Source organism: Homo sapiens, chromosome 1 (genome assembly GCF_000001405.40).
Source record: "Homo sapiens chromosome 1, GRCh38.p14 Primary Assembly".
Lineage (NCBI taxonomy): Eukaryota > Metazoa > Chordata > Mammalia > Primates > Hominidae > Homo > Homo sapiens.
Genome location: NC_000001.11, coordinates 204,934,294 through 204,947,902, shown reverse-complemented (window position 1 = coordinate 204,947,902; position 13,609 = coordinate 204,934,294). Strand labels below are relative to the sequence as shown.

The window sequence follows — 13,609 nt, the reverse complement described above, 5'->3', positions numbered from 1 at the left end:
AGCAGGTGTGAGCGTGAGTGTATGTGTGAATGTGCATGTATGTGTGAGAGTGTGCATATGAGTTGAGGCCATCCTGCAGTGTTATTTGTGATGAAGGTGGGAAGGAATTGTTTCTGCCACTTCTGGGAGGAAAATGCTGTCCCCTGATGCAGGGCCAGGGACAAAAGGGCCAGCAGACCCACTTTTTGGCAAACTCACTCTGGTTGATGAGGCGACCCTTGGCTTTTTTCAAAGGTCATACTGTTCTCCTTGGGGCTGGATAGGGAGGGAAGGAGGGAGGGAGGGAGGGGATGGGTGGGAGGGGTGCGTGTGACTTCACTGGCACAGCAGTGGGAGCTGGAGGCTGGGCCTTCAATGAGGGATTGTGCAGCGGTCTGGGGCTCTGCTCCAGGAGGCCTGCGGCGCCCAGCCTCTCCAGAATAGAAGCAGTGCCCCTGCCCTCGAGACACAGATAATGTCCACTGAAGGGGCAAATGAGTAGAAAGAACACCTGGCAGGGCGAGAACGTTAAGAATGCCTGATCTTCCTTCAGCCCAGGGCTGGATGGAGGGTGGGCTCAGCTCAGCACACATGGGAGGTCTGTGGTGCTGGGCCCAGTGAGATGGAGAGACCTGCTGAGGACAGCCTCTTCCCAGGGCAGCCGGGGGCCTCTCTGAAGGGCTGGCCTCCTGTCTTGCATTCAGCTTCTTTATTCTGTTTGTTTGTTTTTGAGGAATAAACAGTCTTTATGGGCTCAGACCAGAAGCCCATGGGTCTTGAGGACCCCTGTGAACTTGCAATTTTCTTCTCCCCGTTCTTTTGGGCCTGTTTCTGCTGCTGTTTCTTTTGGTAGTGGATCTTGGCCTTTTCCCTCCTCTTTTCCTCCAGGGTGGCTATCACTGCCTGGTACTTCCAGTCAACCTTATGAGACAGGTGCCCCAGGCAAGCAAACTTTCTTGTGGGCTTCAGATGCTCAGCCTTGAGGGCAGCAGGGATCACCATCTGCTTGTTTGTGTCAGGGGCGGTGGGATCCCATCACACACCATGAGGCGGTCCAGGGCGGCTGGCCTCGCTTGGTCTTGTGGGGTAGCATGCCCCGTGGGGTCTGCCGAAAAAGAAGGCTGGCAGCCCAGGGATGGTGGGGGCCTCGGGAAGGGTTGGTGTTCATCCACTTGCAGAGGAAGGCCAGGTACTTTAACTTGTTTCTATAGAAATTGCCAGAAATGCCAATGCCCTCGCCGTACATGACCACCACCTTCCAGCCCAGCAGTACAGGAGGCCCAGGAGATGGCCTCGGCCATAGAGTGCCAGGACCTGCCCCCTCATCCCCTGTCATCTTCGGTGGCCACTGGGAAAGTGTGTTCAGTTTCTGCAGACTCTTTTTGGACACGTTGCCAGGGCCACTGGACCTGCAGCAACCGGGGAGGTGCCATGTGTGTGGGGCATGCTCCGGGCAGCCTGGGTCTCCTGCCCCGACACAGCCAGAGCATCTGGAATGGCATTGCAGAAGGACTTCCCTCTCCATCAGAGAGGTGCTGTGGTCCTATCCCGGCTCTGTCGCTTCCTTGTCTCTAACCCGCAGGCTAAGGATAACACCTATGTTGAGGGTTAGCTGCCAGAACCATGTGCGATGAGGCACATGCAGCACTTAGCTCACTTCCTGGTGCATGACACCTGCGATTCCAGTGGTTTCTTTTTTGTTTCCACCAACCATTTGCTGTGTGACTCTAAGCTAGCAAAGGCTTGAGTTTCCGCGAACACAACGTGGGGTGGGGGTCGTCCCAGGGACACTGGAATGGGGAGATGGTGGGGAGATCAGGGCACTCTCAGCTCTACCCTACAGGTGGGGCTTTGGAGAGCCTGACTGCTTGGGGTGTCTGCTGTGTCTCCGTTTCCTGTAGAGCTTTAGAATTCCAGATTCTTAAGATAGACACCAAAGCCATCTATTTATAGGCTCACCTTGCAGGGACCCCTCACCCACTGGCCCTGGGGATCAAAGCAGCAGGTGAGTGAGAGAGGAGAAGTGGCAGAAGAGAAATGAGCCTTCACCACTTCCCTGATAACCCAATTTCCTCTGCACACCCTCCCTCCGGGGACTTGGCCTTACCAGGCTCCTTATTAGACTGTCTGCCTGGGACTGTTAATGAGAAACTCTCCTCGAGCCAGCCTCGCAGACAGTTACCATGGGAACAGGTCCTTTCACAACTCTCCTCTCCTCCCTCCCTCCCTCCCTGTGCACATGCACACGTGTGTGGGCATGCATACATATGCACACATACATTCAAGTCCACATGCCTGGGGGTATTGGGAGGGCAGCAGGGGCTTTGCCCATCTTACCTCTGGGTCTGACTTACAGTTACTACTGGTGTTCTATCATCCAAAAAGTCCCCTCCTCTGGGGCAGGGGCAGCTATTATGGGTGAAGTAGAGTGCCAGGAGGGCTGAGATACCTCCAACTCTTCTCCAAACTGTGGTAACTCCAGGACCAGGGGTCTGGCTTTGGAGAGCTCAGGGACGACTTTTTAGAGTTTGTATTACTCTCCTGCCCCCCTCCCCAGACATCTGTTAACTGGAGAGAGCCCAAGCCAATGTTGGTGTCATGTGGGTCCCCTCTGTTCCTTGACACAAGGAACAGGGGTCAGAGATGGCATGCTCACATCCTAGCCTGGGGATGCTAAGACATTTTGCCAGAAGTGTCAGAGTTGTGGTAAAGGTGGCACACACCTAAAGGCAGGGCCGAGGAGCTTGGCTGCCAATACATGGGCCATTGATGAACGCAGCAACAGATATGGTTGGTGGAGACATGGCTGTTAGATTTGCATTTTAAGCCCCTTACTTTATGATTCTGATGGTCAAATAATGCCCCCTCTATGAGAAACAGAATGACAGCGATTTTACTTTTTATCTTTACTGCAGGAAAGTTGAAAACAATGAGAAGGAATCCATGCCTGGTTCTCCCATGCGGCATGATAATGGGGCTCTATTTTAATGTCTCATTTAGCCATGTCTTTTGCAAAGATAATTCTGCTCCCAGCCCTTCCCAGGCCTGTGTCCTCCTGATTACTCCAGCCAAGAGGGCCCGAAGGGTGTGGATTTGAATATATCAGACATTAGAAAGGCAAGTAAGAACTGCTCCACCACACTTGACCCTGGACTGCTTTCATGGGCAAGTCAAGACCACAGAGGACCTGGAGAGGTGAGCAGAGGGAAAAACCCAAGTGGCACTCAGAATCCCAAACTCCGCCACCTCTAGTCCCACTCAGCTGGCTCCAGGCACCCCAAGCATCAGCTCAGCCACAGCCCTGAGAAACTGGCTCTGCAACATACAGTCTCAAACTTCCAAACATGAGCCTGTGTCAATTCTTTGGAGAGAAACCCAGCTCTGAATCTCAGAATCCACTGCGTCCCCTCTCCTCAATCTCCTTGGATTATCTGAACTTTCCTCTGACCTTCCCTCCCCTCCCACCCCTCTGCCCAAAATCAGGAAAAAAAAGAGAAGAGAATGGGGCAGGACTCACGATCCATAGGAATTTCGATGGCTCCGCCAAGACTGAGGAGGCAGAGGAGGAAGGCTGCATGGACCCAGGGCGGCGGTGGCTGCCTGGCCATCCTCGGCACCTGGCCCTGCTCCCTGCTCCCCAGCACTCGGGGTCTTGTCACCTCGAGCCGCTTTAACTGGGCCTCCTGGACAGCACTCAGCTGTGGAAAGAAACATAAGAGCAAGTGAGTTTTTCATGAACTTGTGGTTTGCTCTAGCAATCCTACAGGGCTTTGGAGGACCGAAGAGCCCCCTTGGTCACAGAGTAATGTTCTAGATAGAGCAGAGTTTCTTAACCTCAACACTACTGACACGTGGGACTGAACAATTCTTGGCCTGGGGAACTGTCCTGGGTATTGTAAGATGTTTAGCAGCATCTCTGACCTCTACCCGATAGAAGCCAGTACAGCCCACCCCCTTCACCACTACCAATCAGAAATGTCTCCAGACATTGGCAATTGTTCCCTGGAGGGCAAAACTCCCAGCTGAAAACCACTGTTAGAGAAGGAAGGGCAACTCTGCAAAGAACAGTCATGAAAACAAACATTGGCCTATTGGCCTGCAGGCCCAGCAACCAGAAGATGCCATGCACCGATCTGGTAAGAAATGCACCAATCTCACAGCCTCTCTGAACCACATGTGCTGAGTGTGCCTGGGGTTGAGCATATTTGCGGTAGAGGCACAGAGATGAGATCGCACTGATGTCCTTTGATCCCAGGACGAAGGGGGCAGGGTGACATTGGCAGGACTGGGGATCATGGGTTAGATAAGTGAAGACTTGGCGCACAAAGGACTTTTTGTCATTTTTGTAGAAAAATGAATGATTTCTGCAAGTATTTTGTGCAGCTAAGGTACAGTGGTCCCTGATATTGTCCTTTTATAGATAACGGCAGTGGTGAGACAATGACCAGGAAGAAGCGGGCTTCAGGTGGTTGGTAGAGTAAACAGCATGTATGATGATTCAGTGTTCATCCTCAAGCACAAGAAATCATTCCAGGGCTTACAGGGATGGTGTTAAAAATGGTTGTCCAAGGAACCTAGAATGGATCCTTAGAGACAAACCTTTCTTCTCCTCCTCTAGAAAGAGAAGAGCAAGAATGGCCTACAGCTGAGACTCAAATAGAGTGCTTTAAGATTGCCTGAGGTTCTGAAACATACACTTTAAAAAATTGGTCCAGTTTGTTATTCTACTGTGGTGGCAAGTCAAAGAGGAAGGCAGGAGGTGGCTTCTCCAGAATTCCTCCAGTTTTCCTAGATTCATAGCTACCTATCAGATGGACACATCATTCTCCTGCTCCTATTTTATTCGGCAGCAAATTGAAGCCCACTCTCAATTGTGCACATGCACCATCTCCTATCCACCCTGACTGAGGGTGCAGAAGATAAGAACAGGACTCCAGTGCCTGCTCTCTGAGGGGGCGAGAGATCCTGGGAGACAAGGCCATCCTTCTGGAGACCTGGAGCAAAAAGCAGGTCACTGATTATTGCAATAGGACAAGGGACTTCCCTTGTGCCAGGATATGGGGCAAACTAAAGGATTCTTATTCACATTTTTGCAGTTTCTTTCCCAGAAGCTGGGCCCAGCACCAAACCTCAACTTTGTGTATATTTCTGGACTCCTCCACTTGCCTCCTTTCCCACTGCCACCACCGTGGTTTTGATCACCAACATTTCATGCCAGAGTTACTGCAACAGCTTCCTAAGTGGTCTCTCCAGGTCCACTTTTCCCCCCTGTGGTTTGTTTTTTACTTTATTATTTTTAATTGACACATAATAATTGTACGCATTTATGGGATGCAGTGTGATATGCCCCTCTGATTTACTCTCCACTCATAACCAAAGCTGTTATTTCTAAAGGCAAACAGAAATGTGCTACTCCCCTAGTGCAACTCTCAATAGCTCACTGCTGCTTGGGAGTTAAAGGTAGTGTCCTTGACATGGCTCAGAGGCCCTGCATAATGCATCCCCTCTGCTAGCTCACTGCTCATCTCTCCCTTGCATCCTGTGTTCCAGCCAAGACTGCTCTTCTACCAGCTCCCTCGGTACATCATGCTTGGTCTTGCTTACTGACTTTTGCACCATTAAGCTCTGGTCTAGAACACTCTGTGTCTGCCCTCTCTCGTTAGTATTTGCCAGGTATGACATACGTGTCCTTCATCTGTGCTCCTGCACACCCTTTACTTCCCCCATTATGGCACATTTCACTTTGTATTCATTCCAAAAGCCACTTGTCTATCTCCCCTATGAAAATGAAAGCTTTTTTATAAGGGAAGGTACCCTATCTTGTTTACTGTTTTATTCTTAGAATCGACCATAGTACCTAAAACATAGCAGATCCTCAAAACTGTGAGAGGGATCGACATATGGATGGATGAAAAAATGAACGAATGATTAAATGGATGAAATAAGAAGCCATTTGGACCATCATGTGCTTTTTAAAACCTCACGTTTCCCCAGAAAACCACCAGGCGGCGCAGGAGAGCACATGCTGTGGACCTGGGTGGCATACTGTGAAGGCTACTCATTAGTGGAACAAAAAAAATCCGCCCCTACACAGACGGTGCTCTCTGGAGAGGAAACCAACAAGCTGAAAGAGGGTTAAGAGAGTAGAAAATCTCCCAAGGAGGGACCCTCTGGCTAGAAGGCATCACAGGAGGTCTTTGGTTCACCTTCCCAACTCTCTAAGATGGTCCTTATACTGTCGCAGAAAGAATCCACTAATGCCTCTCCTTGGCTTATACATCTCCAAAGACCAGACTCAGATCAGGCAACTGAACCCTTAGTGCTGAGGGAACCTGCGATAGAGGAAGGCACAGCAGGGGCAGCAGGGATGGCTCCCATCCGGGCTCCACGACCACCATGTTTGGTTTAGGAGCTGCCAAGCAGTAGGAAGTGAAGGGAAAGAGACGGATATTTTATTTTGGGACTCTTGATAGAATTAGGAAGCCAGAAGCTATTCATTAAATCAGATACACATTGGCAAGAAAAAAAAGCCCAATTGTATGGGATATTTTAAATTCACTATTTAGCAATAGAGTGGAAAAAGAATCTCAAGATAATCACATTTAGCTGTGTAGCAATTCTCTCCCTCTTTCCTCTCTGGAACCCAGTTTTTCCAACAAAACCTTACAAGAGGAAAAGAATTTAAAGAACACTAGATTCATCCAATCCCCTTTCTTTTCAGATGAAGAAACAAAAGCCGAGAGAAGGGAAGTGACTGGTTTGAGTTTACCTAGCTGGTTAGTGGCAAAGGTAGAAAAAGAACCCAGGTTTCTTGACTCCTAGTCCAGGGATTTTCCACCCATTTTTCTCTTTGTATATACAGGAAAAGTACCAGAGTAAGGTTGCTATTTAAAAAAGAAATGTATAGTTTGGCAGTTCCTCAAAAAGTTAGACATAAAATTACCATATGACTCTGCAATTCTAAGGTATATGTGCAAAAGGATTAAAAACAGGCATCAAACAAGTACATGTACACAAAATGTTCACAGCAGCATCATGCACAACAGCCAAAGGGTGGACACAGCCCACATGTCCTCTAAGGAATGAATGGATAAACAAATTCCAGTATGTATATACCCTGGAATATGACTCAGCCATAGGAAGGAATTCAATACTGACATGCTCCAACATGGATGAATCCTGAAAACACGCTCGGTGAAAGAACCATGCACAAAAGGTCACAGGGAATGATCCCATAGATATGACATGTCTAGGTCTTATCTGTAGAATAGATACATACACTGAGACAAAACACAGATTGTCTTTGGTGACCAGAGGCAGAGGGGAAGGGAGAAGGAGGGAAACTGGTTAATGGGTATGAGGTTTCCTTTTGAGATGCAAATGTTTTGAACTGGATAGAGTTGTGGGTGCACACATTGTGAATGGACCAAATGCTACTGAATTGTGCACTTAATTTAATTAATTTATTTTTGAGACAGAATCTCACTCTGTTGCCCAGGCGGGAGTGCAGTGGCATGATCTCGGCTCACTGCAGCCTCCACCTCCTGGGTTCAAGTGATTCTCGTGCCTTAGCCTTCCAAGTAGCTGGGATTACAGGCATGTGCCACCACACCCAGCTAAATTTTGTATTTTTAGTAGAGACAGAGTTTGACCATGTTGCCCAGGCTGGTCTCAAACTCCTGACCTCAGGTGATCCACCCAGCTCGGCCTCCCAAAGTGTTGGGATTATAGGTGTGAGCCATCGCGCCCGGCTTTGAGCTGTGCACTTTAAAACGGTTTATGTTTCACCTCAACAAAAAAGAAAAGTATAATATTGGCCTCCATTATGTGCTCATAAAGATGGGACAGAGGATGAAGAGGACAGATTATTTGATGTGAGCATATAGGGCCCTCAGCTCCCCAGGCTGGGCTCACTCAGCATGGAAGGCAGGCACATGGTTTGCAACCCCTGCCATCCATTCTGAGGAAATTTCCATCCAAGTCAAAGGAAGGAATGAATCCACCATCTTTCTGAGTATGAGAGTTCTAGTACTGAGCTCAAAGAACCCAACATAGAGTGACAGCAGAGATGCCCTGCCTGAAGGTACCCCTACATCAGCAAGGCTTACAGTTCCCCTGTCCTGATGACCAGGAAGAAAGGTGAAAGGGACAGGCTTGCTAGCCTACAGCAATCAAGTCCACACTTCCCATTCAACCTTAGTCATTGCACAGTCTTGCCCTAGGGCCCAGTCATGCCACCTCTCGGGTTCCTCTCCCAGCACTTCCAACCACACCAGAGGTGACTGCTTAGGTGCAGAGAAGTGCAACATCCAGATGTGGGGGTGGTTGGTTCTAGTGGGATCATCCCAGGGAGGACCAGGAAACTCCCACATCCTAGGAGGGAAAGTAGAGGAGAGGGGGTAGGTTGAGCCTGAAGAAGAGGGGCCACAGTGATTGTATTCACATGCTGGGAGAGAGTGTAGAATTTTTCTGTTTAGTTCCACAGGGGCAAAGCTAGGACCAAATAGGAGGATGTTTCAGAAAGGCAGGTGCTTCCTTGAGTCACAGGAAGAATTGTCTGATAAATGCAGCCGTGCCACAATACCATTAGTGAAAAAACATACTCTACATATGATATGTTTGAAGGATCCTTTTATATATAATAACATAAGAGGCAGGCTGTAAGGATATAAAATACATGAGAGGAGGGCTCATTGCAGGGGGCAGGGGGAGAGTGCAGAAAAGAACAAAAATAAATACAACAAAGAAATAAATCCTATGTGGATGCATGGTATACTAAGTACTGGAGAACATGATTAATTCAGCTCATGTATATCTGAGGTCTCCCAATCCCCCTACACACACACACACACACACACACACACACACACACACACACACACACATCCATCCATACAGGAAGAAAAGAGAATAGAACTACCTGAAGGTGACATGTTCTGCCATGTTAAGTACTGTTTCATAAAAACTCCAAATGGCATTGGTTAGGTGTGTTACTGACAACATTCCCACACAGGAGGAAGGCTGGATGCTTTTCAGAGTCACCTGGACACTCTTCAAACATACAGATTCCCGGGCCCTCAATCTTCTAGGCAGGGGCCAAATCAGGTTGTAGATTGTTTTTAATGCTCTTAGAACCTGTTATCTCACACAGGGATGGTCCACACACATGGGCAACCTGCCTGAACACAAGGCCTTTAAATCTGCAAGGCTTGTGAGTGATTCAGATTCAAAATGTCCAAGATGTCACATGTGAGTTTGCTAATGATCTGCCTGGTAGAAGACCTCTGGACATGGTGGTGTCTTGTCTAGTTCGAGAGCATTGGCTGCATGGTTAGACTGCCTGGTTTGAGGCCACTTCCCACTTAAAAGTATGGGAGCCGGCGGCAGGGTGGGGGGCTTGGGCAAGCACTGAAGCTTGGAAGCTTTGTATTTATCATCTGAAAAATGGGGATAACAATAGCACCAATTCTAGAAGGCTGCTGTGAGGATTTATCACACAATTCCTATGTAAAACACTTGGTAAAGCATGGGGCACAGCGTAAATGCTTAAAAAATGTCAGCTGCTGCCCCTGAGTGGGTTTGAGCTCAAAGGGATGAGGGAAGCATTCTGTCCACCTCCACGACATGACCAATATGAGTAGTAAGTGGCTGTAATAATGACGCATCCATGGTCACAGCCTGCTTTTCTGTTTTTCCTTTTCTTCTGGGCCCTGGTTTCTTTCCCCACATTGGGGGCCCGTGGTGTTGATTCCACAAGCTGTCCCTGGCAGATGGATGAGATCCCGTGGCTCCCACGAGCTGTCGCCATCGGGAGCTCCTCACATTCCCACAGCCACGTTCTGGGCAGGCTGTCCTGGTGGTCACAACACATCTGAAGTGACAAGGAGAGAAGACTGGCAGCGTCGAGACATGGCTCAGCTGGCAGCTCTTCGTCTCCTGGAGGGAAAGCCATCTCAGACTTTTGGGCTGCATGCAGTGGGCAGGGATTCATTCACATAGCCGACTGGATGGCAGGGATTATTCTAGAGAACACATGCATGGACAAGAGACAAAGTCCCTCTACTCTCATGGAGCTTCCATCCCAGCAGGGAGGACAGTAAATATATGTTGAACCAAAAATCCAGTAGCAATAAGTGCAACGGAGAAAACACAACCGACCTGCACGTGGATGTTTAACAGCTTTGTTGATAATTTTGCCAAAACCCAGACAGAAGCAACCAGGACGTTCTCCCATCAGCGGATGGAGAAACGGAGGTACATCCAATGGAATATTACTCAGTGCCCAAAAGAAGTGAGCTACCAAGCCATGGAAAGACATGAAGGAAAGGCACACTACCAAGTGAAGGAAGCCAGTCTGAAAAGGCTGCACACTGTGTGGTTACAACCGCATGACATTCTGGAAAAGGCAAAACTATAGAGACACTAGAAAGATCTGTGGTTGCTGGGGGTGCAGGTTGAGGGATGAATAGACAGAGCACAGAGGAGGGTGTTTAGGGCAGTGAAACTTCTCTGTATGATGCCCTAATAGTAGATACTTGTCATTATATAATACATTTGTCCAAACCCATAGAACTCCAAGAGTGAACCCTAACATCAACTGTGGACTGTGGGTCATAATGATGTGTCCATGTAGGTTCATCGACTGTAACGAACACGTTAGTATGGTAAGAAATGTTGATAATGGAGGGGGCTGTGTACGTGTGAAGATGGGGTGCATGGGAACTCTCTGTACCTTGAACCTAAAACTGCTCTAGAAGTGTTTTTTTTTTTAAAGAAAGAAACCACAGTAGTGATTGATGTGATGTAATAAAGTGAAGCGAGTGGTCAAGGAAGGCCTCTCTGTGAGAAGTTGCCATCTGACCAAGACCTGAATGGTAAGAAGGCACTAACCTTGCAAAGACAGGTCAGAAAAGCATCCCAGGCAAGAAGAGCTGCTTGTGCAAAGGCCCTGTGGCAGGAATCACATTGCCCCATGCAAGAAACTGAGAGAAGCCAGCATGGCTGGAGCTTGGAGGGCGCAAGGACAAGAATGGAACAAGTCACAGTCAGAGAGAGAGTCCAGGGCATGCTCACGGAGAGCTCTGAAGGCCAAAAGAAGGAGCCTGAAGCACATTCTAAGCATGATAGGAAGCGGCTGCAGGGTTTGAAGCCAGAGTGACATGGTGAGATTTGCTTGTAAAGACCACTCTGGCTGCCACATGGAGGGCAGAATGTCAATGGGCCAGGGTGGAAGTGGGGAGGCCAGGTAGGAGGCTCCACAGCCTCTGAGTGAGGCCAGCCCTCAGCCTGCACACCAGACACCCCACACTCTTTCAACAAGACCCCCACCCTGTGCAGCCAGCCTCATGGCCATCTCTGGGGTAAAACATAAAATACCCAGAGGGGTGAGGACAGAGCTAAAGATTTCTTAAGAATCTGTTAGTGCTGGACATGGTGGCTCACGCCTGTAATCCCAGCACTTTGGGAGGCCGAGGTGGACAGATCACTTGAGGCCAGGAGTTTGAGGCCAGCCTTGCCAACATGGTGAAATCCCATCTCTACAAAAATATAAAAAATTAGCCAGGCGTGGGGGTGCACGCCTGTAATCCCAGCTACTCGGGAGGCTGAGGCAGGAGAATCACTTGAACCTGGGAGGTGGAGGTTGCAGTGAGCCAAGATTGTGCCACTGCACTCCAGCATGGGTTACAGAGCAAGACTCCATCTCAAAAAAAAAAAAAAAGAAAAAGAAAGAGAGAGAGAGGGAATCTGTTAATGCTAGGTTTTCACATTGGGTCCAGAGGAGCTGGTGGGTTTTCCGAAAATGACTCAGGGGCCTTCTTCAAGGAGGATTGGGCAGGAGGAGAACAGGTGGGACTCAGGACCCCCCTCCCACTCTCCCCAGAGCTGCCAACAGTGACTGTTTTTATACTGGGGTTTCATATAAGGTTTTATTTGAAGAAAAGACTGTTGAGTGAAGGAAGAACCACAGTAAAGGCAGATTGGGAAAGGAGAGTGACTGACATAAAGATAGTGTGGGAGGAAAGAACTGGAAACCCTGTGCAGCAGCCTAATGTTCCATATTCAAAAACCCTGTGCCCAGTGGCCATGATGCACGGGGGCAACGGCAAGACATGGGTGTGAGGAGGAACACGCCAGGCTAAGGCTGCAGTGCTGGCCTTGGAAAATCCCCCAGCCTTCCCACGCTAGCCTTTGCATTTGTGTTGAGGACCGGGGTGCCCAGTCTCATCTTCCTCTATCCCATTTCGGATCACTCCTACTTATACCCCATGCAGACTGAACAGATCAGACGCTGGCCAGCCCCTAGATGACAGTACAGTCCTGACACACAAGCTCTGCAGCACCCAGCCCAGGACAGTCAGGCTTGCTCAGTGCTGTCAGCTCCCCTATTTCTTGCTGCCACTTTCTACTCAGAACTGACCAGGAAAGCTGAATACGTTCCCAAACCAATCACATAAGATGCCCACTTCTAGTTTGCCCATCTCCAGTTTCCCAGACACATCTGGAGCCTTCCTTTCACTCATGACAAAGCTTTCCCACTCCCCTGCCTGCCTCTGAGTCTCTGTCAAATGCAGGTGATGGTGGCTGACTCCCTTGCTGTAGCAAGCTCTGAATAAATAGCTTCCGCTTGTTCTCATGTGGGTGATCTTTGTTTACTTCCACACTGTCTTTACGGCAATCACTCTTCTTTCCTAGTCTGCCTTTACTGCTCTCCTTCTTTCTCCTAATTCTTTGCCATCTTCCAGGCTCAGGTCAGGTGCTACCTCCTCTGGGAAGTCTCCCTTACTTTCCTGGCACCATCCCTTCCCACCAAGGCTGGATTAGGTCCTCGTCCTAAGTGCTCTTAGAGCATTTTGGAATATATTCACTATAATGAGTGCTAGATTTCAGTGTCAATTAATTGTCTGTTTCCCCAACTGCACCATGAATTCCTTGAGGCTAAGACAGTGTCTTGTTCAACCTGCACAACGTCCAGCACACAGAGAACTCTAGTGCATATTTACTGGCTGCATAGCCAGCACCCATACTATCCTCCTCCCGTCCACAGTGCCCATATTTTTCTTCGGAGAATTCATCTCTACCCCTTTCTCAGAGCAATCCTACACCAATTCCAGGGCTGGGCCCTGATTAGTTTAAGCCAATTACCATCTCCTAGCCTGTCACCACCACGACTGGTTTAGGAATGGGCATCTATTCCAGCAGGCGGCAATGTGATTCATGAAGACTTCTGTTGAGACCTCTGGGAAAGAGGAGTTTCCCCTCTCTTCTGAAAAAGACCCTGTGGTCATCTTCAGTAAGAGGAGAGGCTGGAGCTGTTGGGGGTGGGAAAGGGTGTCTCCATGTGAAATCTGAGGATAACCCGGAAGGCAGAGAGAAGACATAGGAAGACTCAATCCTTCATGTCCTTGTTTGAGTTACTGATTGAACATTTTCTGAAACAAGTCTTATTGTGGGTTTTTAATTACATATACATTTACATTAACAATTCTCTTTAATTTGCAAGCCAATTAGAGTTGAATTTTCTATCACTTGCAACTGGCAGTGCTGTCAGAATCAGAAGTGCCCTTAGAATGCTGGTTGATGCCTACCTATGCTGCCACTTTCTGTATATAAAAAGTGTCCTTCCTCCTGC

At 48.7% G+C, this 13,609-nt stretch overlaps 1 protein-coding gene and 1 pseudogene across 56 annotated transcripts in view, besides 1 other annotated feature; both read right to left on the bottom strand.

Annotated features, from left to right (window-relative positions):
- NFASC (neurofascin) overlaps positions 1–13,609 on the bottom strand; it is a 194,171-nt gene that overhangs the window by 74,920 nt on the left and 105,642 nt on the right. For all 56 annotated transcript variants that reach the window (NR_165492.1, XM_011509316.2, NM_001378329.1 and 53 more), the window contains one exon: positions 3,497–3,677. Coding sequence is in view for 55 of the 56 variants with exons in the window: in XM_011509316.2 (XP_011507618.2) it covers positions 3,497–3,677 (181 nt within the window). In the remaining variant the exon portion in view is untranslated. The remainder of the gene's footprint in view (positions 1–3,496; positions 3,678–13,609) is intronic.
- Positions 709–1,335, bottom strand: RPL13AP11 (ribosomal protein L13a pseudogene 11; annotated as a pseudogene).
- Positions 5,968–6,067: a silencer, noted in NCBI's record as "silent region_1731". NCBI's record gives its function as "represses an Ori minimal core promoter by ATAC-STARR-seq in GM12878 lymphoblastoid cells {active_cell/tissue: GM12878}" and the evidence as "EXISTENCE:reporter gene assay evidence [ECO:0000049][PMID:35858748]".